Below are 27,042 nucleotides of genomic sequence, written 5' to 3' on the forward strand. Positions count from 1 at the left end.
ATCCGATAGTAAAGAGGCATAAAGAAAGCCCGCTTTTGATACGTTTCTTAAATTGCCTCTGTTAAAACAGACTTTCTTATCAGGCAAATATCTTTTATAAGTTTCTGGCTTAAACAATGATTATAATTTACAGGTGGATTTAATTTATGGTAGACTGGACTGCTTGCCTAGACTTTTATTTGCTGATGGGCATTACTCCTTTTTATTCTCTTAATAATGAATTACCTGACCTTATACTTATTTTGATTTAAGTGCTTGATTTTTATTGTCACTTTTAATTTTGTGTTATAAAGATGCAATTGTCATTGGCTACATAAATTTGTTTTTTTCTTTTCTTTTTCTTTTTTTTTTTTGAGATGGAATCTCACTCTGTTGCCCAGGTTGGAGTGCAGTGGCATGATCTCGGCTCACTGCACCCTCCACCTCCTGGGTTCAAGTGGTTTCTGGCTAATTTTTGTATTTTTAGTAGAGACAGGGTTTCACAATGTTGGCCAGGCTGGTCTCGAACTCCTGACCTCAAGTGATCCGTCCTCCTTGGCCTCCCAAGGTGCTAGGGTTACAGGCGTGAGCCATTGCGACTGGCCATAAATTTGTTCTTAACATTTAAAATTTATTTAACTGCTGACATTTGCAAAATGTACAGCATTTCAATAAGTAACATTTACATGAGGCATTGAGAAAGTGAGAAGAATTAAATTGGGAAATATCCTAAATGATGGCTGAGTTCAGCCAAATCATTTGAGGTGTCTTCACAGTCTTTTATATATAATGTGTGACAGATGAGGGAACCTACTGCTTTTTGGGCTCTGTCAGATGGAGGAGAAAATCCCACAATAAATGACTTCCTTTCACTTTGTTGGAAACATCTTTGCAAAGAACAGAGGTAGTGAGTAAATGTAAAGTCAGAGGCAGACATGCACATGGCCCTGGGTGTTTTGACCTTGGTGACTGTGCAATGAGAGGGGAGGTGTAGTCCATTTTATAGGACTTTGGGTGGTGTTGAATGTATTCAGTAGAGAAGCAGAATGTGTATTTCAGATTAAACAAGAAAACTTCGCCATTTTCCTCTTCTGTAACATTTCTAAATCTGGATAACATTTTGAATATGATACTGAAGTATTGTATTGAGATTAATTTTGGGTGTCAACATCTGTACTCATTTAAGATACTGGGTTAGTATATGATGCCCATATCTAAAGGTTTTGCATTTTCTAAAACCTCAAAATCCAAAACAGACATTTGAAGTAATCCTGGAAATAAATGACAGCCATTTGCCTGACTTAGTATCCTAAGATGGATGGCCCTTCCAATGGCCATTTTTTATTTTAGCTACTAATGAGTATTATTGAGTCACTAACTAATTTCGAAAAGCATTTTGGTGAATTATAATTGGGGCTGTGATTTACTGAGTTTGAAGACTGATAAGCCATTCCTCAGCCCTGTAATTAATGTAGAAGCAGAGAAAAGCACCCTGATGATCAGCATTTCCTTTATGTGGGGCAGGGGAGTCAAAAGCATATTCCAGCCAAATATTATAGAATATTATTTTTTCAGCCATTTCTGCATTTTACTTTTATTAAAAATGGCAGGGAAATGTGAAGTGCCACAAAACTTTGGAAAGGAAGTCTCTTGTTTACATCCCTTTTGATACTCAGTATATTCAAGCGTCATCCATCACAGCTATTCCCTGGTGTTAAATGGTTCGTTATAGTCAGTGAACCACAAAAGTAGTCTGGGTAGAGGGACAGAATTTAGAATCATGGACCAGATTTACAAGCCACGTAACTGAGTATTCCTAGAAGGCCAAAATCTGGTTGTTTGTATTCTTTGGGTTTATTGGAAGTTTGGATATGTTTATCCATCTGTGTTTCTGAACCCTCTGGAGGAAAGAGCACAACAGTCTAACATGTAAATAAGAAAAACTAAATCCACATAGGCCCACAGATACATTAGGACTTCATTTTTTTTTTTACAAAGAAACTGGGTATTGAGACTCCTGCTACTTCCTTTTACAAAGAATTTATGGTAGACTGGACTGCCTTCTTTCCTGTATCGTTGCAAATGGATTGTTGGCTTGGGTATTTATTTTTGTTTCTTTTGAATATTTTTCTCTGTAAGATAGCAACTGTGTGTGTGTGTGTGTGTGTGTGTGTGTGTGTGTGTGTGTGTGTGTGTGTGTGTTCTATCATATTTCAGGATAAAATGAGTCAGGAAGCTGGTTGTTTTGGTTTTTTGTTTTGCTTTGTTTTTTCGCAAAGCAATTTAGTACCTGTGTAGTTGTTTCATGGGCTCCCAGCTCTTAGGATTCCCTACGTTTCTATCCTTAATTGCCTATGCTCTTTTTACTCTTTTCCGTGTAGTCTTTATGCAGTAGTTTGGACACAGCAGACAACTCTTTCCTTTAAATAATCTCTTCTCTTAGTATCTGTGATGCCATGAACTCCTGACACACACACACACACACACACACACACACACACACTCTCTCTCTCTCTCTCTCTCTCTCTCTCTCTCTCTCTCTCCCCGTCTCCCTGTCTCTCCCTCTCTCTCTCTCTGACTAATCCTTCTTAGCCTCCTTCTTCAGCTCCCTTTCCACTATCCAACCGCTAAAATTTCTTCTTTCTTCTACACTTTCTAAGGAGCCACGCTGTACCCCTACCTCAGGACTCTCACACACACTTTCTCTTCTTGGAACTCCCTTTCCTCCAGCCATTTGCTGTCTAATCCTCACTCTTTTTTCTTCCCCTATTTCTGTCCATGTATGAGGCCATTTGCTTTTCTCCAAACACAGCTTGTGCTTTCTTCTTCATACTTAGGCTAATTGTGTTTCCTGCTGTGTAATTGCCAAATTCTGTTTTTCATTGCCTAGCTAAAAAGCCATGTTGATTTGTGAAGCTTTCTGTAATCACCAAAGATTTTTTAAAAATTCAAACCAATTAATATATTTCCTTAAAACTCATAGCCCTCTTCACATTATTTCCCAGTGTTAATTTTATGTATATGCATTATATTCCCTATTCAACTGCAAACTCCTCAAAGGCAAGGGCCTTGTCTTCAACTTAATTCTGTCTCCCACAGAACATAACATAGTATCTTCTACATAGTAGTTGCACAATAAGTATATACTATCAAACAAAGAGAAACATTTATATTATAGCTTCCTAAGATTTCCTATTCTCATTTCAAAAGAAATGGAGAATTTAGAGTCTCTAGGATTATTGCCCTTGGCCTGTAAAGGTTTTTATTTGTGCCCAAATATGTAACCTCGAGTGAACTTTGTATCAGATGATCTGGGAAAGTACACCGCTTTCTGTTATCAAACATTTCTGTTACTTTGCTTTTCAAGCTGAAAAGGGGAGATAACTTCTGTTTGCTTTGAGCTTTTGTTGATGGTTTTCTGCTCTGCCTACTAATCAGGGTTGTATTATTTACCTTGTTTAAAAAGGTTCATCTGAACATTCTCTCTCTATTTTGAATTGTAATTGGATATTAATTCACTGCTGCGGGATACGTTGGTAAAGATTTTTGAAATTGCAGGGAAATGTTTCTTTAATCCCTCAAGTTTGTTAAGTGCTTTCTTATAATGGAGATCATAATCTCCGAGTTGGTAGAAGGGATGAAACGGTTACTGGGGATATTTTTCCCTTGTTAGAAAATTGCTGTATTAAAAAATACTTCATCCAGTTTTTTAATCCTTTCCACATGCTGTATGGTCCTTAGGAAATAAGTAGATTCTTAGCACCGATTTCATGTTTTTAATAAGGAAGGCATTGAGTAATGTTCAGGTCACTGTGATTCACAGAGTTAGTGGCCTGGGGCCTTTATTGGTAAAGCTTGAAAGTAGTTTTCTTTAGCATTGTGCATACACAGGTAGCTGCTAGAATGCTCACAGGAGGCTGTGATTTGGGGAAACAGGCAGTCATAGAATATCTTGAACATTCAGCATAAATTGCCAAACAGCCACAGCTAGTGAATGGTTTCAGGGGACAAGGGAGAGGAGCCTTTAGGCATGATTACCCACATCTCCCTGATTTGTTCTTCCACACACAGATCTTAAGGGTCAGTTTTGATCTGCACAGCATTAAGTTTCCTCATGACTTTTAGATTTCCTTTTTCCTCTGCTTTTTATTCATACTGAAGAATTTTTTGTTTCTTTGTAAGGTGTAATCTACTTTGGAAATGATAACACTATGAATGCATTTTCTCTTTCTGTAGCATTTATGACATTGCTTGCTGACAGTTACTGTTTATTAAGTATTTGTGGCTTTTGGAGTAGTGAGCAATAGGGAGAATATTCAGGTCCAGCTAAGGGCATAAGGTAGATAGCAATGATTTCTCATTCGAAAGGGATATTTTGTTAAGACTAGGGCTGATCTTTTCTAATTTAACCTTGGATTGGTAGAAGATGGGGTGTCCCTGGCTCATTATTTTTCACTGCCCAGCACTGTTCGACAATTATCCTGAGTAGAATTAGGGGAGGGACTAGAGGATCTGTTTTCTGTGAATACAATAGGAAAGGCAGTTTTGAATTATCCAAATGGCCCCTAAATTCTGGGGGAAAATAAAATAACAACAACAGCAGTTTTAAAAATAACTACAACCTAGGTTCTGACATCCCAAAAAGGAATATTTCAACTATAATTCTCAGCATTTTAGAAATTAATTTCTTGACAAATATCAATAGGTATCATTCAGACTTTGCAAATACAGAGTTTTGAAATCAGAATTTTGCATCTCATCTCTCCCCTAAAAGAAGTATGGCAATTGTGCTTGCTGACCATGAGGCTTGTGAACTATAATACATACTTATAGGCACAAACACAGAAGCATACCCTCTCTCAGGCATCACTCAAATCTAAGAAAATTTGTTGTCTTATGTTTTAGCGAGTAACCAGCTCATAAATCACATCGAACAGTTTTTGGATACTAATGAAACACCGTATTTTATGAAGAGCATAGACTGCATCCGAGCCTTCCGGGAAGAAGCCATTAAGGTAATGCTATCCTAGCATCTCTTTTCTTCCTAAACAGTTGGCGACTATCACAGGGAAAGAGGCATACAGCATCCTGGAAATGAGTCTGGGCCGTGGAAATTATCATTCTCAATATGAATAGCAGTGTATGCCAGTGGAGCTAAAAATGACTTAAATTCATGTTACTATCACTGTCATTTCTGAGATGGGATAAAGATGAGTAGGTAGGGTGTTTTATCCCTGAAAGTTGGCTTTTTATTGTACTGAAGACCTGGCCTTTGCTTTCTGTTCCTATTTAGGGAACCAAGGAAATTTCCATTATAACCTCTGGTGGCCCACTCACTATTGTAAAGGATGGGCTATTTTAGGGAAATGGATGGGAAATATATATTGGTATAATTATTGAGAAAGATTTTATGAAGACAGGAGTAGGGATCTAAATGTCAGAAAAAAAAGAACACTGACAATAAGTTCCTCCCATGCCTTTTGTGTGGGTTTTGTCTGTTTGATTGTTTTATTAGGAATTCTTAGAAAATATTTCTAAAACTTTTCCAAATTATGTATAGGCTTTTATATCTCTAGGTAAGAAGTGAGCAAGTTTAAATTAGAAAGCATATTTTTTAAGTGGGCACAGTTGTAGTATATGTTCTTGTGTGGGTGCTTATTAAATACTTGGCGAACGTATGAATGAATTAATGCTTAAATAATTTAGGTGCTTACAAAGAGTGACAAGAAAATGGAAAAATCATTAAAATTAGATTCAATAACAGATTCAGAAGTAGATAACCTGAATACTCTTAGATAAAAGACAAATTTTAGAAAAGTAGAGTCAGGACAAGACTGCAGATGATTCAGTTGGATGGAGAAAGATTTGGTTCAATGGAAAGAGATAGTAAAAGTGTATTGCTTTTTTAAAGCACTACCCAGGCTAGGTGGAGTGTCTTATAACACCTCTGTGCATGGTTGCCACCCAGTGTCCTTAAAAATACTAGGTCACATTATATCTCTTAAAAAAAATAAAAGAGAGACAAGAGAAGCAGAAGAGACTTCAGTGACATATCATTCAGTCTTAATGGAGAGATTATTATTTTTTCTTTTCCTTTTTTTTTTTTCTTGAGACGGACTTTCACTCTTGTCGCCCAGGCTGGAGTGCAGTGGCGGATCTCGGCTCACTGCAACCTCTGCCTCCCAGGCTCAAGCGATTCTCCTGCCTCAGCCTCCCGAGTAGCTGGCATTACAGGCGCATGCCACCACGCCCAGCTAATTTTTGTATTTTTAGTAAAGATGGGGTTTCACCATGTTGGCCAGGCTGGTCTCGAACTCCTGACCACAGGTTATTCGCCCACCTTGGCCTCCCAGAGTGCTGGGATTACAGGGGTGAGCCACTGCGCCCGGCCAAGGGATATTTTTTGAACTGTAAAAAGATTAAGTTTTATGGAACAATTAGGAAAATGAGAATACTGGCTAGTTATTTGGTTCTATTAAGAAGTTACTAATTTTTTATGTGGTGTTAATGGCATGTGAGTGTTTGTTTTAAAAGACTATATTTTCTATATTTCATACAAGAATATTCATAAATGAAATAATTTGACTGAAATTTGCTTCAATATAATTGGAGGGTTATGGGAGAAGAAGGTCATAGTATAGAGGAAGCAAAATTGGTTTGGTTGATAATTATTTCTTTATTTTATTTTTTATCTTTGAGAAGGAGTTTTACTCTTGTTTCCCAGGCTGGAGTGCAGTGGCATGATCTCGGCTCACTGCAACCTCCGCCTCCCGGGTTCAAGCAATTCTCCTGCCTCAGCCTTCCAAGTAGCTGGGAATACATGCGCCTGCCACCGCATCCAGCTAATTTTTGTATTTTTAGTAGAGATGGACCCATGTTGGCCAGGCTGATCTCGAACTCCTGACCTCAGGTGATCTGCCCAGCTCAGCCTCCCAAAGTGCTGGGATTACAGGCATGAGTCAACATGCTCGGCCTGAGTTGATAATTATTGAAGCTGGGTTATGAGTGTGCGAGCACTCACTAAATTGTTCTCTGTTTTTGTTTGGGATTTTCTACATTAAATGTTAAAAACAAAGGGCTAGGCCACCGCAGAAAAACTGACTCTGGGAAGCTCTGTGCCTTCCACAGATGGAAGGATTTCTGGTCCCCAGTGAACACACCTCAGTTTGGAATGCCAGCTTCCCATGTACCAAAGAAGAACATTTTATTTTTTTGTAATAAATAAGGTGATTCAGACCAAACTTTGTTTGGTCTGGGGTGAATTTGTTTTTGTGTTTGCTCTGACTTGCTGCCTCCTCTACCCCAACTTGCTACCACAGTTTTCAGAAGAGCAGCGCTTTAACAACTTCCTGAAAGCCCTTCAAGAGAAAGTGGAAATTAAACAATTAAATCATTTCTGGGAAATTGTTGTCCAGGGTAAGTTGTCATTTGCCTTTTTTTTTAAAAAGTATTTTTAAAATACTTATGCTATTTTATTCTAAATATACATATAAATTCTAAATATAAACTGTATTGTATAATGAGTTATGTGGGAAACATGATGACTTTCTACATGGCTTTGGGAAATGCTCAGTGTTCGGTGAACTCAAACTCTCCCTTAATAAGCATAAATACAGAGTGATAAATAATAAATAAACATGTAAGTTCCATCTTAGACTCTTTACGCAGCATGACCTATTTCATGGCTGTGCCTTTCTGTTTGTTGAATGGAGCAGCTGTGTGGGCGAACATTGTCCCCTTTCTCAGATCCTTAGGCCATTTCAGTCCTGCTGGTTCCACAGCCCTTTGGTTGACCTCACCCAGGTTTTATCTCCCTGCTACTTTTCATTTACCATGTTCTTGGACTTTCCGTTTCAACAGACCAGCATCTTCATGTACCAAAACCATTCAGTTCTTCACTTGCACAGCAACCAATGCAAGTTAAACCCAGAAAGAAGACAGCACACATTCTTTCAGTGTTAGGCTTGATCTTTGCTTTTTTTCATGCCCTTTGCCCCACCTTTTTTAAAACATGACCTGATTTTCTTTTAGAACCCAAGTATAAGATATTACTTGTTTAAAATACATATTATGAAAATGATTATGTTTATGAGATAAACTTTTCACTTATACTAGAGATGCAAAATTTGTTTCAATCTCTTTCTGTGTGAATTCTATATAAAAAGAATTGCATACCTATCTATCCGCCTTCTAATGGGCAACTCTTCATCACACAGGTAACTGTTTTCCTGACAGTTAATTTTTCAGCCCTTTAACTTCTGCACTGGAGAACAAAAGGAATTGGAATGGGTAGTGAAGGGGGCTTACTCAAATCACTTTTGTGTCTCTGCTGTTGACCCCGTAAATGAAGGAGATTGGTTTTGGTATTTATTGAATGCCTATAGCGTATTATTTGCTGAAAAGAAACTTACAGGTCATATGCAAAATCCATATTTTCTGATAGCTTATATGCCACTGAGAGAATACAGATGACCAAGGCCATTCATAGGTACACATGGGTGTTAAATACATGTGCTTTTTGAACAGTTTATCAGGTATCAGCCATTTGATGTAGGAAAATAGGAAGAAGAGCAAACTAAAGAGTAGATTTTCTACCCTTGATTTGCTCTTACTGAGCTAAAATTGATTAACTGTCCTAAATGATAGACATGCCCCTTGGTGAAGACCATGTTTTCTTCCTCCCTAGTCCTCTGGCCACTCTATCAATAGCCAGTAACATGGCCACAAGACAAAATGCATGGCGTAGTTCCATATTGGGCACCGGATGTCTTGGACAAAAGCATACAGTCATTTAATTATCATTTATTTATTGAGCTTCTGCTATGTTCTACAGTAAGTCCTCTCTTAACGTCCATAGGTTCTTGAAAATTGTGACTTTAAGCAAAATGACACATAATGAAACCATTTTTTTCTCATCAGTGTTATAATGAAACAATATTATTTAAGTACCTACTTTTGTTTCACTTAAAGTCACAGTTTCCAACAACCTATTGATGATAGTTAAGTAAGGACATACTGTACATTGAGGGGAATATAAAGACTTATAAGACTTAGTGTCTGCCCTTGAGAAAATATATTCTTAGGAGAGAGAACATGTGTACAAATAGTTACATAAAATACGACAAGAGCCATTTCAAAGGAATAAACAAAGTGATCTGAGATTTCTAAAGAAGGGGAGACTTATCTAGAGTTGATCAAGGAAGGCTTCATGGAACACGTGGCATTTGACATGCGGCCTTTATTGCTTATTACACAGGCAAAAACTGGAGAAAAGATAATTTAAGATGGTCATTGTTAATTGGTTGCCTTTATAGTTTTATATTTTTTGTAGAACAGAGCACCTTTATAGTTTTAAAAATCTCCAGCTCAGGCTGGGCACAGTGGCGCATGCTTGTAATCCCAGCACTTTGGGAGGCCGAGACGGGAGGATCACTTGAGCCCAGGAGTCTGAGACCAGCCTGGGCAACATAGTGGGACCCTGTCTCTATTTAAAAAAAAGAAATCTTCAGCTCAAAGGTGGGAGGAGGTGTGATGGAAACGAAAATGGGATTGGGGTTGATTCTTTGTGTTTTGATTTTACTCTCTGAATTACTTTTTAGATGGAATTACTCTGATCACCAAAGAGGAAGCCTCTGGAAGTTCTGTCACAGCTGAGGAAGCCAAAAAGGTATTGAGGGGTAAACCTTTGTCTTTAGTTGAATTATTATAGTGGACTTTATTTTCTTGATACCCTCGAAGAAGTTAAATTTTATGGGTAACTAAATTAGTGTACTCATTTTGTATTCAATATGTAAATTGCTTCAACCACAGCATCCCCATGGGAGAAATTATAATCTTACTCAGTTTCCTGTAGGCTGTGGTTATATTTCTGGAACTCACCTGTAATCCCAGCTTCAGTACCCCTAGAGCATGCTGTTGAACCCCATAGTGCGCAAACTTAGCCTCGGCCCTGGTAAAGGCTATGAAATCCACAGTGATTCCCACCCTGGCCACACATTAGTTACTTGGTGAGCTTGTTTTTCTTTTTTTTCTTTTCTTTTCTTTTCTTTTCTTTTCTTTTCTTTTCTTTTCTCTTTCTTTTCTCTCTCTCTCTGTTTCTTTCTTTCTTTTTTTTTTTTGTTAATACTGATTAAAAATCAGAATTACCCTAGAGATTCTGTTAGTCTGAGATGGGTCCTGGGCACAGTTGGTTTGTTTGCATTTTAAAACCCCTCAGGTGATTGTATTGTATAGTGAATAGAGAAACACTAGTATTCTAGCATAAGGGACATCCAAGTATTTTCAGTAAAAGACCCCATGCAGTCCCCATGAGCTTCTTATTCACACACATTGTTAGGCCTAGGCCTCCTTGTTTGGTGTGTATTGAATCTGATTCAGCCATGAGTCAGATACATGTGGTTATTTAGTTCAGTAGTCCTTCATTGTACCTCAAGGTTGTGATGAAATTTTAATGAATTAAGTTGAATAGCTCAAAAGTATATACTTCGTAACACTCAGTTTCAGTTACAGTCACTGACTGATGTAGTTCTGCTGGCACCTGACAGCTCTCAGTTACTAAGCTTCTGCGATATGCTAGGCACTGTGCTGGATGATAAGACAGCACCCCTGCCCTCTAGAAGCTCGGGCAGTTAAAATGGAGCAGAGGGAAGCAACGGAGACTCAGAAAATAACTATACACACTAAGGGAGAGCTTGGTCTGGGGCTGGTGAATAGGAATCTGTTAGGGAAGTGACAGATGCAAAGCTGGAAATGTTAATCAGATGGCTAAATTCAGGCCAAAATTTAAATATCTTCAATTTTCAACTCAAGAAAGGCATTTGGCAGAAACCATGTTTGGAAAAGAAATTAAAATTTACAAGAATTTTTATTAAGCACTTTGCCTAGCAAAAGATTTTTGTTAAAAAAAAAAAAAAAACTTGTCATCCCTACTTTCAGGGAGTAGAATCCTGGAATTTTTGAAGCATACTGTAAGATGGTGATTATATCTCAGAAGGGGTTCCGTGGTGTCTGTACCCTCTCTGCCACAGGCAATACTGAGCACCATAGGCTTGAGTATGCCATTTAACTGTTTGGTTTTGTTTCTGTTTGTCACTTTATACAATGTTTGATAATATCTCCTCATTGAACTGGGCTATTTCAGTCAAGGTTCTCCAGAGAAACAGAACCAAGAGAACGTACATGTGTGCGTGTGTCTGTGTGTGTGTATGCACATACACACACACATATATATAGAGAGAGAGATTTATTGGCTGAATTTCAGAAATTGGCTTGTGTGATTGTAGGGCTTGGCAAGTCTGAAATTTGTAGGACAGGCTAGCAGGCTGGAAACTCAGGCAGGATTTCTGTGTTACAGTCCTGAAGCAGAAACCTCAGCTTTTGCTCTTAAGGTCTTCACTTGATTGGATGAGATCTACGAATATTACTAAGATTAATCTTTACTTAAAATCAGGTAATTTTAGATGTTAATCACATCTACAAAATACCCTCACAGCAACATCTAGAGTAGTGTTTGATGGAACAACTGGGGACCATAGCCCAGCCAAGTTGACACATAATATTCATTGTCACATGGTGTGAAGACCTATCAATCAATTTTTGTTAAACAAGTAAATCAGGAAAAATATTTTTTGTCATTATTACATTAAGAAAATTTATTATCCAGGTGACAGTACATACTAGAGTTTTTGGAAGAAGTGAGGAGCCATGACCTAAAAAAGCTTGTGTTTCCTGCCAGCAGCACATCTTAACCAAAGATGTTCCAGCTAAGTTAACCCAGAATATTAGACAGGAAAGAAATCTGAAAACAGATGATGCACTTGCAAATTGTGCAAGGCTTGTTCTGTAATGCAAATAGGATGTCTTCTTTGAAATGTAAAGGCACTGAGCCTAAGCATGAGGAATTTTAATGTCTAATGATGAAGCTATAGAGAGAAATTTCAGTTAATGACCAGGTAGGTATAAGATGGTGTCCTTAGATAATTCTGATATCAGAACTGATGTTAGTTGTAGTTTAAGACAACTCTCCTGAGACAGGAGAACCGCTTGAACCCGGGAGGCAGAGGTTGGGGTGAGCCGAGATCGCGCCATTGCACTCCAGCCTGGACAACGAAAGCGAAACTCTGTCCCAGGAAAAAAAAAAAAAAAAAAAAGACAACTCTCAAAACTTCACCATCTTTGAATAGAGAGAACATCATAAAAAACAAGTGGAGAGAATCTCTTCTACTTCAGCCACGGGTTGCCTGGCTCTGACTGGCATCTTCTTCCTTTTAGAGCATAGTGTTTCCATAGTCAAGGCACAGAGAGTGTGCTTCCAGTACTACCAGCAAAACTGAACTTCACTGTCATGGCAGATAAGAAGTTAGGAAATTCAACATAAAATGTATTGAGTACCACCAGCTCTATGCCAGGCACTTTGATATATATTATCTCATAGCCTCCAAAAAAAGTACATTGCACATTCACCTAGCAGACTCTTTCACATCTAGAAAATGCCATTTCCTTTTTTTCCCCACATTTATCAGTGCTTTAGCCAATGTAGTATGTATACCAGATATTTAGATAACACTTTGACTGCTAAAGAACCATTCACATTGTATGGTGTTTGTCTACAACACTATATACATCATATCTAGATAATGGTAGAAAATAAGAGTAGTAGAATTTTACTTGTATCCAACTCCCGAACCAAAGAGCCCAGTATTATCTCTGTAATCTTCACAATGATCTGCTAAGAATTGGCAAGAGCAGGAACTACCATCCCTGTTACCACTGGGAAGCCAATCCCCAGAAAGGTAAAGTGGGGTTACACTTTGAGCTCACCGAGGTAGCAAGAGGATTAAAATGCACGTTCCTTTGCACCACACCAGACCTTCGTTTTCAAGTGGATTAAGTTTTGTGAATGGAATCTTGGACCAATCATTTCTAAAATACAGTACTCCCTGTCTGCTTCATCTCAACAAATGACTTTCTGGCCTAGAGCCAGGTGGTGGTTAGAATAACCTGGAAGTCATAGAGTAGACCCTGTAATTTTGACTCACCTTCAGTGTACGCTGTGTTATATCTGTCAGTTCTCATTAGTATAGTGGTGAGTACCCCCACCTGTCACTGTATCATGCCTGACTGTGAGATTATGCTTTTGTGTCTGCTTTAATATCACATGAACCCTTTATTTTGTTTTCCAGAGTGAAAACTTGATCCTTTGTATGAAAAATGCTTTTATTTATTTATTTATTTATTTATTTATTTATTTATTTAGAGACAGAGTCTCCCTCTGTTGCCCAAGCTGGAGTGTAGTGGCACGGTCTCAGCTCACTGCAACCTCTGCCTCCCAGGTTCAAGCAGTTGTGCCTCAGCCTCCCGAGTAGCTGGGATTACAAGTGCGCACCACCCCACCCAGCTAATTTTTGTATTTTTAGTAGAGATGGGGTTTTACCATGTTGGCAAGGCTGTTCTCAAACTCCTGACCTCAAGTGGTCCGCCCACCTTGGCTTCCCAAAGTGCTGGGATTGCAGGCGTGTAATCCCAGCCATGCCTGGCCTGAAAATGCTTTTAAATGGCATCTGTTGATTTTTGGAGAGAAGTGTAGAAGGGAGAGTGTACATGTAAATGATAATGGGGAGAATTGCAGAGGAAGATTCTGGCTCAAGGAAGCTGATTTCTTTTGGTTTTAATAGAAGAGACATGCTTTAGCTATTTCTCTTAGCCAAGTGAGAGAAGTATTATCACTTTTGACCATGCACTGAAATATTCATTTATATTGCCTTCAAATGTTCAATTTGGTCACTTCCCAAATAATCATTTAAGGAAACTTGACTATAATCACTGAGGTTAAAGAACAATCCTCACAGTCTATTTAAATTCTTTTGAGGTGTTTCCCATAAGTTATTTAAAGTTAGCAAGCTGTCAAATTCTTGCTATTAAATGTTGACATTTGAAAGGAAATAATTATCCAGGGATGTTCATTTTAAATGAAAATTATAACTTTACATTTGTATAACATCTTAAGAGCTATTACCCTCCAGTTTTTCTAGAAATATGTGGATTGTATGATTCTTTGAGAAATAGAAGGAAGTCAGCTCTGCTACAGAAATAGAAAGTTTTTGCATGGCGTGAGTTTAGACAGTCACTTTCTTTTAAGTTTCCTGGTACCTCTCATTTCATTTTGAAACCTAGGCATAAATCATTCTTTAATGTTCATTTTTATTATCATTATAACCTGTCAGTTCTTCCACTTTTTCTGTTTCTAGTTTATATGATTAGATATGCCATTAGCATTTGATGTTTGGTAGAATCTTTGTATAGCCTTTGTGTGCTCTTCATCTGTCAGTTCTCCTGGCTCTGTAGTGGGTGGAAGAGGTAAAGTGATGTGTCTGAGAGCTCACAGTAAGTCACCGGCCAGGAATCTAGTTCTAGCACTGCCCTAGTCCTTCATTCTCCTTTAGTATTGAGAAAGCAGTGAAGAAAGAGGATTTATCCCCATGGCATTGGGATCTTTTTTTTTTTTTTTTTTTTTTTTACCAGATTCCAAGAGGCTGAGCTATATCTAAATAATCATTTGATGTAAGCTCTGTGAAAAAAAAATCATTATTTTAGCACTTATTTTTCTTGTAACTGCCTAATTTATCCTTCTTTATTGTTGTTGACATTTATGGATTTTCCACCTTAGTATCACAGACATTCATAGATAGCAATTGGCCATTTTACCAATTGGTGTTGGCCATTTTACCAACACCCCTGTCTAGAGAGGTAAAGTTTTCTGTGCCTCACAGCAAGCTAGTGGCCAGCAGAATTGACTGGAATCCAGACCCCCAGATGCCCGCTGTAGTCGCCTTATCACCACACCATGGCACCAGCTCTTCACGCCTTCACCTTATAATGCCGCCAACCACATCTACCTAGAGAAAGGATGCTCATGCTCCCTTTTTCAAGAGTACATCTGGTTCTGTGTGTGAGAGTGCACAGGAATTCTCCAAAGCTTAGTGAAGGATTGAAGACAAAGGTTAAGAATCATTTCTTGAGAGCAGTTTTGTCAAACTGCTGGCCCCTGTTGGAACCTGTGACATTTTTCTTTGCTTTTTTCTGCTTTCATTTTCTGCCTTAATTCTCTGGTGTAGTTTGCTAGTACAAGAAAAGTAATAATGAAAATATCACAGTGTTACCCAATATTTATTTAAGGCTTGATACATTTAAGATATGATATTAAATTTTTTATTGAGGTAGAACATGTGTACAGTAAATGCACAGATCTTAACTGTGCAACTTGATGAATTCTTACACATTCATGTACCTGGGTGCTCACCACCCAGATCAAAATAATAGAACATTTCCATCACCACATAAGCCTCCCTGGTACCTTCCTAGTCAGAAGCCCCCATCCCTTGAGGTAACCACTATTCTGACTTCTGTCACTTGAGAGTCATCTGGCCTGTTTTTGACCTTCATATAATTGGAATCATGCCTTTTTTTCATCAATTATGTGATTATAGCTATGTAGTAATCCCTTTTATGATTTTACCACAATTTATTCATCCATTCTCCTAATGATGGACATTTGCTTGTTTGTCCTTTGGCAGTTATGAATAAAGATGCTGTGGATATTCTTGTACATACCACTTGGTGGACATATGTTAAGTGTATTCCTAGGAATTAGAACATGAAACTTACAATACCATAATGAATTTTTTCATACTTTAGTTTATCTGAGACTCAACAACCCCTAAGATAGGTATGGTAAGTAGTAGTATTCACATTTTGTTTTTGAGCGAAATTAGTTATGAAAAGGTCAGGTGGCTTGCGTAAGGTTCCTGAGAAACTGACAGGGTTATAGTTGTGTTCTCCACACTAGGCTGCAGGATTTCCCTCTTGCACCATGTTAGTGTTTATAGCATCCATTAAGCTACAAGTGGCATTAATGAAACCCAAATATATGTCATTTTAGGCAAAGTACATGCAAACTGACTTTTATTCTTTTTGATGCTTTTTTACACATCTAGATTGTCAGTAATCCTTTGGAATCACCTGATGGTGTTGGAAACAACCCAGTGGAAGTCATGTGTTTTTACTTTGGGGGTCAGTAAGGGTCTGAGCACAAGATGATAGTCTTTTAGTCTTATGGTGGTATAGGACTGGCAGTTTCTATATAGAGGTTATTGATTTCATTACTCTGCTTGTGGCCAGGATTATATTTCAGTGTACTTGAAAAGTAGTAGGTTATCCATTTCATAAAGTTCTCCAGGTAAGGAGGCACTTTTATGGTAACCCCAGGTAAGTGATGGTGGTTTGAGGAAGAAGGAATATGTCACTCACACACATGCCCTTTCTATCTGTTCTCTACTTTCTCAGCATATTGCAGAGGGAAAGAACACATGAGAAAAGATGAGAATTGACTCCTACCCCTTTCTGCAGAAGAGATTCGGAGAATCTCTTGCTTTTATTGAGAAAGCAGGCCAGTCATTGAGTTCTCTGCTCTATCTTGCTTCCCTGTCACTGCATGGGCTAGAATTACTTGCAGTTACAAACATTAATGATGAGGAGTGATATGTGGAAGAGATCAGCCTTGCCTGGGGCATTGGGAAGGATAATGGATGGCAGCCCAGCTTTTAAACATAATTTGCTTACACAGAAATGTGAAGCAGATCTGTCAGGAAAATCAGTTGCAGACGATACTTAGCACTTAATGAAAATGTAGGATTTTTGTTGCTGCTCATTTCTTCCTAGGAATTTGGCCTAGTCTCAGAGATGTGCCATTTGTGCTTAAGTATATATACCATGGTCATACTGTGCCAACAATAAGTCCTTATCTAAGGGGTCATACAAGATGTAGTGGACTACAGAACCATTAAGCCTATGGAGTTTTTCAGATGTTTGGAAGATACCAGTCATTTGTGGCCCTACAGAGATTTATGGCAGGATGCAGCTCTACTGTTTATTCTCTTGCCCCAACTGGATAAGTCTTATCCTGTAGCCATATAGTCCTGATATCACGAAAATCATGCAGGGGTTAATGACAATGAGTAGGAGAGGAGAGGTACAACATAAAAAGTATGATAATAACCCGGAAAACCCCAAATAAAAACCCATTTGAGAATCTAGGATAGAGTAGTTTATTTAACCTTTACAGATAAATCATATGCTAGTAAATGTATAGATTTTTTATTCATTTATCTGTATTTGGCTGTCAGATATCTTTATTCATAATCACCCAGAATAAACAGAATGAATGAAACAGAAGCTTCATCACAATTCTGTTACAGACTGTCTGCCTCCATTGCTGGGATTTCCTCTCTCTTATACCATTGATTCTCAGTCTTGCACATGGCCCAGTTTAGGGTCAACAAAGAGCTATGGAAAGATCCATAAATGTCCTTAAAAGAAGATAAATTCCTTATTCGCTCAGTCATAAAAGAAGTTAATGAATAGTGAGGTGGTCTTAACTGAGGGAAAAAAAGTCCAAGAGAGTGGTTGAGTCAACAAACAATTATGTCCATGGTGCTGACAAAGGCACTGCACCTTAAGGCAGACACAGCCTCCACTGTTATCACTTTGTTACCTGTGTGTGTTTTTGTATATGAGGACTAGAAGAACAGGCAGAGCTTTCTTGCTTCCTGAAACTTGCCACATGCAGCCTCATATTTCATGGTTGACTTTGGTTTGACTTTTTAAAGAGACATATTTTAGTTTATTTATAGGTCTTAGGTTTCAGAGGTCATGATTGTGTCCATTGTACCATAAAAGTAACAGGAATGTAGAGAATGGCAGCTCTTACCATTTTTTCATGTTGAGAGTGAGGAAAGTATAATTATACTTTTTCCTCTTGGGTGGAAGCAACTACAGGAGAGCATAAGTGGGCTGGAAGGCTCTCTCACCGCGTGCCTGCTCCATGCACTCTCAGCCTGAAGAATGCCAGAATGCCTCTAGGGGCCAGTCAGTTGTGGTACCATAACTGATTCTCTATTTACTGTTTCTGGCCCCCAAAGGAAAAGTAGAAGTGCCCCACTTTCCACTGCCCTCTCTAAAACACTCACTCCTACAGGCAGGCATGCTACCAGAAAATCACCTTCTCGTGTTAGGATAGATAGGCATTGCTAGATAGATATGCATTGCTAGAACCCAGCTCTTAGAGGCAGCTGCCACATGCCTTGAAGGAAAAGGCTCCCCACTGCTATCCCTTGGAGGGACAGGATGGAAAAAGAGTGTTCAGATAATTTTCAAGGGCACTCACCTCACTACCCTTTTAAAATCTGAGTGTCATTCCTAGATCCTCACAGACTTCACTTCCTGGACTTTGCTGTATTACTATGTATCTGCCTTTCAGAAGCTCCAGATCTAGAACAGTGATGCTGAATGGTTTTCTCATCCATTTCTCATCTGCCTGTTTTCAAACAATTTCTAACACAAATTGAAAGATTTCCATAAAAGGAATCAAACAACCTTCCAAGCTCACTCATTTTTGCATTTCACGTTTCTTATGAGAAGTCCCCCTTTTACTGCTTTTGTCCACAGTGGAATTTAAGAGTAGATTATTCTAAGCTTTTTTTTTTTTTTTTTCCTGATTCTTCATCATTCAACTTGAGATTATTCTAATCTTGATTTGATTCTCATGCTCCTTTCAAAAGAGCATACTAGTTTGGGGTGGTTGGTTATTTTCTTAACCTTAGCAAGCCAGCTTATTTCCTATGGAAGCAGAACTGGAAACAGCAGATGTCCACCATGCTTATACAGGACACTACACACTGTCTCGACAAGCCATGTTCTTTCCTCCCTCTTCGTGAGCACTTTCTCTGGTGATGAGTTAGTATGGACTACTTGAACCTCAAAACTGGGCCTCTCACCCAAAGCCAAATGAAGTAGCGTATGCCAGGATGATGTTTCTTTTGGGCCGTTGGCAGTGAGACTGCTAAGCAGGCTGCCTTAGGTTTTGCTGTGGCAATGCTAGCAGATTGTTCCCTCTTTCAAAGGGGCAAAAATATCATTTTGGTATGATAACTGACTTTCTATTTACAGTTTCTGGCCCCCAAAGACAAACCAAGTGGAGACACAGCAGCTGTATTTGAAGAAGGTGGTGATGTGGACGATTTAGTAAGTACTTTTAATATGCACCTGGTGTTCTATGATTGAAGTCACCTGAGCTGTAAATACAGCCACAAAGGCTGATTATCTTACACTTGTTGCTTATTTGTGTTTTAATTTCCAATACACCAGAAGCTTCCTACACCATTATATATTGCCATTATAAATTCAATCAGATAGGTAATTTCATAATAGAAATTCCTGTGTTTCATGGTGTCGGCTATATTGTTCATTCAGATTAATCCTCTCCCTTGAAGGGCTGAAAAAGAGCTAGGGAGGCTATTCCATTAGTAGCAAAATGTTGTAATTCACTGAAATTGCTGTTAACCAAAAATAAGTAATACAACATGCAGTTTGTGTGGGTTGACAAATGAAACAGCCCTTAAAAGGGCTACTTCTTAAATGTTCTCAATTAACTTAATGTAAACAAAATAGACCGATAGGCATTTGAGGATTTCTGGACCCCATTACACCATGTTGTTGATGTCTGGGAAGCTGTGTAGTAAATGTCTTTTGTATCTATCCTTAATGTTTGGAAACTTCCCGCCTTTAAGCTTCATATGACAACTGACCAACAAACACTACGTACTATGATGTCAATCTTTTTTAGAGACATTCTCATTACTAAAATGAGTGGATACTTGAATGTTTAACTCCTAAAATAATGAGCGGTGAATAAATGAGCAAGTACATGCATGCCTTCCAATGTAGAGTCATTTTCATTAAACCCTCTCTCACCAGAGAAGCAGTGGTATGAAATTGGCCTGATTCCTTTCTAAGTGTGTTGTTCTTGTTCACAGTTGGACATGATATAGGTCGTGGATGTATGGGGAATCTAAGAGAGCTGCCATCGCTGTGATGCTGGGAGTTCTAACAAAACAAGTTGGATGCGGCCATTCAAGGGGAGCCAAAATCTCAAGAAATTCCCAGCAGGTTACCTGGAGGCGGATCATCTAATTCTCTGTGGAATGAATACACACATATATATTACAAGGGATAATTTAGACCCCATACAAGTTTATAAAGAGTCATTGTTATTTTCTGGTTGGTGTATTATTTTTTCTGTGGTCTTACTGATCTTTGTATATTACATACATGCTTTGAAGTTTCTGGAAAGTAGATCTTTTCTTGACCTAGTATATCAGTGACAGTTGCAGCCCTTGTGATGTGATTAGTGTCTCATGTGGAACCATGGCATGGTTATTGATGAGTTTCTTAACCCTTTCCAGAGTCCTCCTTTGCCTGATCCTCCAACAGCTGTCACAACTTGTGTTGAGCAAGCAGTAGCATTTGCTTCCTCCCAACAAGCAGCTGGGTTAGGAAAACCATGGGTAAGGACGGACTCACTTCTCTTTTTAGTTGAGGCCTTCTAGTTACCACATTACTCTGCCTCTGTATATAGGTGGTTTTCTTTAAGTGGGGTGGGAAGGGGAGCACAATTTCCCTTCATACTCCTTTTAAGCAGTGAGTTATGGTGGTGGTCTCATGAAGAAAAGACCTTTTGGCCCAATCTCTGCCATATCAGTGAACCTTTAGAAACTCAAAAACTGAGAAATTTACTACAGTAGTTAGAATTATATCACTTCACTGTTCTCTACTTGCAAGCCTCAAAGAGAGAAAGTTTCGTTATATTAAAACACTTAGGTAACTTTTCGGTCTTTCCCATTTCTACCTAAGTCAGCTTTCATCTTTGTGGATGGTGTCTCCTTTACTAAATAAGAAAATAACAAAGCCCTTATTCTCTTTTTTTCTTGTCCTCATTCTTGCCTTGAGTTCCAGTTCCTCTTTGGTGTACAGACTTCTTGGTACCCAGTCACCTCTGTCTTCAGCACCCTCATAAGTCGTCACTAATACACAGTTTTGTACATGTAACATTAAAGGCATAAATGACTCATCTCTCTGTGAATTGCTGCTAATTATTGTCTGCAAAAGACTTCTTCAGTGCTCTGCTGAGAATTGAACACCCTTATCCATTGATTGAAAATGGATCTGCAAGATAGAACATCATTCATTTAGCTGAGGAGAGAAAGGAGTGCTTTACTTTGGGCTTCTAGGACATCCTCTCAATACTATACACACTTGCATCAAACTTGACATACAGGTGCTCATTTAAAGTAACCCCAACAGAGGATGACATATAGTTTCTGGTTAGATAGTTAAAGCCCAGGGGTTGTTTGTGACTTGGACAAAACTGAGACATTCTTAGAACCACAGAGAGTGGAAACTTTGATCTCTGAAATCTTCATTATTCTCATCAGATCCTCCCAGCAATATGAATCAGCTCAGTAAGTATGGCTCCATCAGCAGCCCCTGTCTTTGGCAGTTTGGGGAATTTCTTTTGGGAAACGTCAGTCTTTTTGTCATGCCAGGAAAAGTTTAAATCAAGTTAGTCCTTTAGATCTTCTGATACTTTTTGACTTAGTTTGAATGCAGCAGGATTATTTGTGCTTCTCTAACCCTGTTTTACCTAAATCTCAATACCTCAAGGAAGAAATTAGTTTCACAGGCTAAGGAGAGGAAGAACTAAATGAGTCATGTAATTTCCAAATCCATTTCATACAGGTGAAGTATATGTGCTATGTAGACTTCATCAGAGCGTACTGTTTTGAGTAGGGACAGCGTGTTTTGCATGAACACATCACAGTCCCATTTCCGTGAAATGAGATTGGCAGATCTACAGAACTCCCAGGTGTTCTGCTGAGTGTAGCCCTGGAGGACAGCAAGTGCTGTATTGTCGTCAATCCACCATGGGCTGCTTCTCAGAAGCCCAGTAATCCCACAAATGATAGGCTTGTCTGTGATTGCAAGTCACTGACTATGGACCCGGTCACCTTTTTCTTCTATGTCACTGAAATTTATTGACTTGAAGAGGAGTCATCCTCTTTGTGACCCCCCCACCCAAGTCACAACTCAAATGACCATACGCATTTCCAAATGCCCCCTTGAAGGTATGTGCTGCCCCTCATTAAGTACCACTATTTTAAATGTTGGGTTTTAATCCTTTGCCAGTTAATTTACATATAAGATTTAGAATCTTGGAAAACTATTTGAAAAATCGTGTTGGGATTAGGCAGCATTTTTTTTTCCCGCCAAGTCCAGGATGGCTTTGAAAATAAATGGACACAGATCTCTCCTGTTTTGATGATGTGCAGTGCTAATGACTGGCTTTGCAGTTAATTTTGATTCAGGCAACAGATGTTCCTTTTGGTTCCCTGTCTCCCATGGGCGTCATTTCATGTTGTCCTCTGCCTTCCCCCAGATATTCTAAGTTCAGGACACAAGCTTGTGGCCCATGCAGAGCAGAGGCCATGAGGGGTCACAGCATGGGTACGGGAGGAAACACTGGGCTAACCCAGATACTGGACTTGAGTCTTGCCTCTGCTGCTTGCTGCACAGCTTCTGTCATGGTGCTAAACCTGTGACCTGCCTCACAGGCTTAGAGCATGCCCGTAGAAGTACTCTAAACTAAAATGCTTTCCACAAATGAGATGGTTTCATGAAAACTTCAAATAGAGGGCCTGGGCAGAACATAACCTTTTTTTTTTTTTGAGACAGAGTTTCACTCTGTCACCGAGGCTGGAGTACAGTGGCTCAATCTTGGCTCACCGCAACTTCCACTGACCAGGTTCAAGTGATTCTCCTGCCTCAGCCTCCCGAATACCTAGGATTACAGGCATGCACCGCTACCCCTGGCTTATTTTTGTGTTTTTAGTAGAGACGGGGTTTCTCCATGTTGGCCAGGCTGGACTCGAACTCCTGGCCTTAAATGATCTCCCCACCTCGGCCTCCCCAAGTGCTTGGATTACAGGCATGAGCCACTGCGCCCAGCCACAAAACAACTTTTAAATAGGTCTGCTGCTGTTTTTTTATTTTAACCTTATTTCTTCTAAGACCTTGAGTATTCCAGTGCTGTTTTCTTTGTAATGATCTATTGTTATTGGACTTAGGTTTTCTCATCTAGTTATACATAAAAATTAAAGTCTCCATGTGATCAAAGGTAAGGGTAGGACCCAGGGTAGGTTTTCTTACTTTTTAACAGGGTGACCATGCATTCCAGCTATGGAGGATGGATTGTTGTCTTAGCATAATTAATAGTGCTCTTTTTTGTTCTCAGAATTGTCCTGGTATGGATTATAGATATATGGTCACCCTAGGTTTTGATTATATTAAGTTAGTATCACAACCAGGGCCCAAGGAATGACCATATCCTGCCTTGCCACTCACCCCTCTCCTATTAACTCCCTCCTGGAGCTAAATGCACAAGGAGCAGACAGCAAAATGGAAATCAACATACTGCTTTGTATTAGCTTATTTCAGAGATCTTTGGAACAGCTAGGTTGTGGCTCATGGCTTAGGTTTGTCCTCTGCCTCCTACATCCAGATCTTACCACCATCTGGCTTCCAAGCCTGAGACAGGGAAGAACGTCTCATTGGGCCTGCTTGGAAAGAGTAGGCCCTTGGGCGCAGTGGCTTACGCCTGTAATCCCAGCACTTTGGGAGGCAGAGGCAGGCGGATCACTAGAGGTCAGGAGTTCAGAACAGCCTGGCCAACATGGCGAAACCCCATCTCTACTAAAAATACAAAAAATTAGCCGGGTGTGGTGGTGGGCGCCTGTAATACCCGCTACTCAGGAACCTGAGGCAGGAGAATCACTTGACCCTGGGAGGCAGAGGTTGCGGTGAGCCGATATCACACCACTGCACTCCAGCCTGGGCGAGAGAGCAAGACTCCATCTCAAAAAAAAAAAAAAGTAGGCCCTGGTACTTGTGCCTGGTTGACAGCATGGAGCAGGAAGTGGAAATGCATATGATGTTTAAACAACCTTTTAGGGGTTTTAATGACCCCTAATAAATATAGCTCAGTCTCCAGCCATTTTTCTAAGTCCTCCCTATAGCAGGCAGGGGAATATTAGGAGGGTGATGGGGAAATGGGACTTCCCCCATCCCACACTTTTACCCCATATAGGTCAGTTCCCCTGATCAGAAGTAGAATTGCTAATCCCTGCTTAGATAGTTGGCTTTCTGCAGTCATTTTGGAAAGGAAAGAAATGCTCCTTTAAACATAACCCAGGACTAGACTTCCTTTCAAGAGGCATAATGGCATAATGCTTCAAATAGCCACCTGGATGTTAGATACTATTAGGTTTATTAAGTCCAGGTGTCAATAGCATTTAACAGTTATGTGGCCTTCACAAGTCCCTTAACCTTTGTAAGCAACAAAATAAATCACTTGCATTTTATCTGTGGGCAGGGTGGCCCAGGAGAGGACAGAAACTTCTCAGCCAAAGGGAACTCACAGGAGCTGCTTGAATATGCGAACGGGTACTGCTTGGAGTGTTGAGAAAGCAGCTCCAGACCCAAGCCCTATCCACATCCTCCCATTTTACATTGCCCAGGGCCACCCACCTTTGCACTGCAGCTTGTGTGGGTAAGGACCCTGGCAGACCTGGAACGGGAGTCTTAGCATGGGTAAGTCTCTGAATTTCTCTACGCCCCTCCCTGTTACCTTTTCAGTATGCTGGGAATTATAACAGCTTACAGGGTTATTGTTAAGATTAATGAGCACATACTGCTAACAGCATATATTAATGGCTTGGTAAAATAGGATGAAAACTAAAATTTATTTTGCAGCAGAATTCCCCTTAGGAACAGATCTAGTTTGTTGGATAAATACGTTGATGAACTACTTCAGGGATTGCAGTGGCACTGAGATAGGAGAGGAAAGCAGAAGGAAGATGGCACCCTGGGGAAACTTGGTGGTAGGGGAGGTGTTCTGGCTGGTTACTGGCTTTGGTGTTGATAAAGATTATCTTTAAATAAGGGGAGAGTTTTAGAGATGGAGGTGGGTAAAGACAACAGCGATGGACAGCTGCAGGGGAGGGCAGCTTTAGGGGCTTGGGGAAGCACAAGTGTCCATAGGCATCCTAGTCTTAAGTTATCCTGTGGGGTTGAGTGAATTTTCATCTCCCCACTGAGTATTCAGTGCAACATCCATTTCACTAATGTGCTTGGAGTTGGTATTTTTAGGGGATGCATGTAAGTGCTGTGAATGTGACCTGTTTCAAGGAGGGCAAGGGTGAAAACAGGCTGTCCAGAGAGAGTCTGGTCATCTCTGGATTATCTTCATGCCTTGCTGTTTAAACCTGAAATCAATCAAATGTAGGCGATAGCAAACTCTGCTCCTCCTTAGGTTGAACTTCCATGCCTCCACTGTGGCCAAAATCAAGCCTTATATAATTCCCCATTCAGAAATAAGAACAAAAATGAACTCTGTTCTTGAAAATAACTGCAGATAACAGCTTGGCCAGGAAAGCACAAAAGGTAGCATGTGTGAGACATTTGTCATTGCTCAGAATTTTAAAATTGCATTCCAAGCTGTTGGATTTGAGTTTAAGTGAGGCCAAACTGGGGCGAGATCAAACACACCATCAAAGAATTACACACATATCCTTGTGGCCACATCGCTTTTGTTGTTTGTTTCAAGGATGCTGTGTGTGTTACTAGGGTTAAGACTCTTCTCCTTGGCTGAGGGATCTCCTCTGGAGATTTTGAAAACAGGAAACAGATTTCTCTCTCCCTTCTCTGGTAGTCTTCCTATTCGTGTTAGAAACAGTCTTGCTCAGAGGCAGAGGGTGAATCCCTGGCAGATCTTGACAATCTTATGTAATATGTGCATGACTTTTCTCTATCTCTGCCATAGTAAGAATACTAGGCTGAAAAATAGGTTCCCTTTCTTAGCAGTTTGTGTTGACAGAAGTTGGCAGATGGTAGGGGTAAAAGGGAGTCTTAGAGCATTTCTGAAGCCAGATGGTATAATACCCCAGCCCCACCTGGGAATGTCTGATAGGAGCTGGGGGAAAAAAAAAAAAGCAGAATCTCTCCTGAGTCCTTCCTGTCATTTCTGCAGCTTTAGCAACACCAAGAACTATCTTTGTCAACACTGAATTCCTGTGGCTTGTGTCCTAGAGGAGATGAATAGAATAGAATGTGCTCACCTCAAGATTAGAGTCTACCTTGTACCAGAAAAAGCTGAGGAATGAGACCCATGCAAAGTAATATAGAAACATAACAATCCACTCCTGATGTTCTTCTGTGGAAAGAGGGGAGAAATAATCCCAAAGCATTGTATCAAGTGGGCAGAAGTGAGATGGGCAGAGTCTCTTCCTGCCACTGCCTGAGGGAGAGATCTCCACTTGCAGAGCATCCGAAGTTGATGAACAGCATGGCACTTTGAAGAGCCTTCACTTACTGTGGAAACTCAGAGAAATTGCTTTACCCTCACAGACTTCAGTTTTACCATATGTATGGTAATTGGTATGTTTGAGATTTAAAATCAGTTCATTTAAGTAACACTCCCAATGGAGTAAGTCATGTTAACTTTTTAAAATCACAAATCTGTAAGTTTGGAAAAGGAGAGAGGAAACTATTACTTCTTAAGAGTTATAGCCTGTCAGGTTATCTTGCAAGCTGGGAAGCACAGCCTCCTCTAGCAGAAGCCCAGAGACAGGCACTTCAAAGGAGGAGGGGTTGGCTTGGAGCTTTATGCTGAAAAAGTTATCTAAATATGCATATTCAGTAGGTTACAGGAAGAGCTGTGAATGTTCATAAAGGTGGTCCTGATGAATGCATATTAAACAAGTATGTTACATATGACCCATGTTCATCTCACAGAGAAGACTCGACATTTAAATATTACAATCAGGCCCAGTACATCAAAAGGTTTTTCAGGACAGGAAGGCACTCAAGTACGCAATCTCTGTAAACCCACTAGAACCAGTCCATGGTCGGTGGGCTTCTTAACAGGAGAAAGTTACTGAAATCACTCTCTTGTCCAGTCAAAGCTATAGTTATGGCTGGTAGAGTTCAGTTAGTCAGCATCTGGTAGGGCTGCAAGTGTTTTATTAGTGTTTATGGTGAGGCCACTGCTTGTTTAGCTGCTAGAGAGAAAGAGAATCCTTGTTGCAGTTAGAACCTAGTTTATTCTTTAAGCGTAGG

At 39.6% G+C, this 27,042-nt stretch overlaps 1 protein-coding gene across 1 annotated transcript in view; it reads left to right on the forward strand.

The window, feature by feature from the left end:
* XRCC5 (X-ray repair cross complementing 5) overlaps positions 1 to 20,953 on the forward strand; it is a 96,946-nt gene extending 75,993 nt beyond the window's left edge. The window contains exons 17-21 of the mRNA NM_021141.4: positions 4,885 to 4,994; positions 7,299 to 7,395; positions 9,579 to 9,646; positions 18,982 to 19,056; positions 19,848 to 20,953. Coding sequence (NP_066964.1) covers positions 4,885 to 4,994; positions 7,299 to 7,395; positions 9,579 to 9,646; positions 18,982 to 19,056; positions 19,848 to 19,862 — 365 coding nt within the window. The 3' untranslated portion in view covers positions 19,863 to 20,953. The remainder of the gene's footprint in view (positions 1 to 4,884; positions 4,995 to 7,298; positions 7,396 to 9,578; positions 9,647 to 18,981; positions 19,057 to 19,847) is intronic.

Source organism: Homo sapiens, chromosome 2 (assembly GCF_000001405.40).
Source record: "Homo sapiens chromosome 2, GRCh38.p14 Primary Assembly".
Classification (NCBI taxonomy): Eukaryota; Metazoa; Chordata; class Mammalia; order Primates; family Hominidae; genus Homo; species Homo sapiens.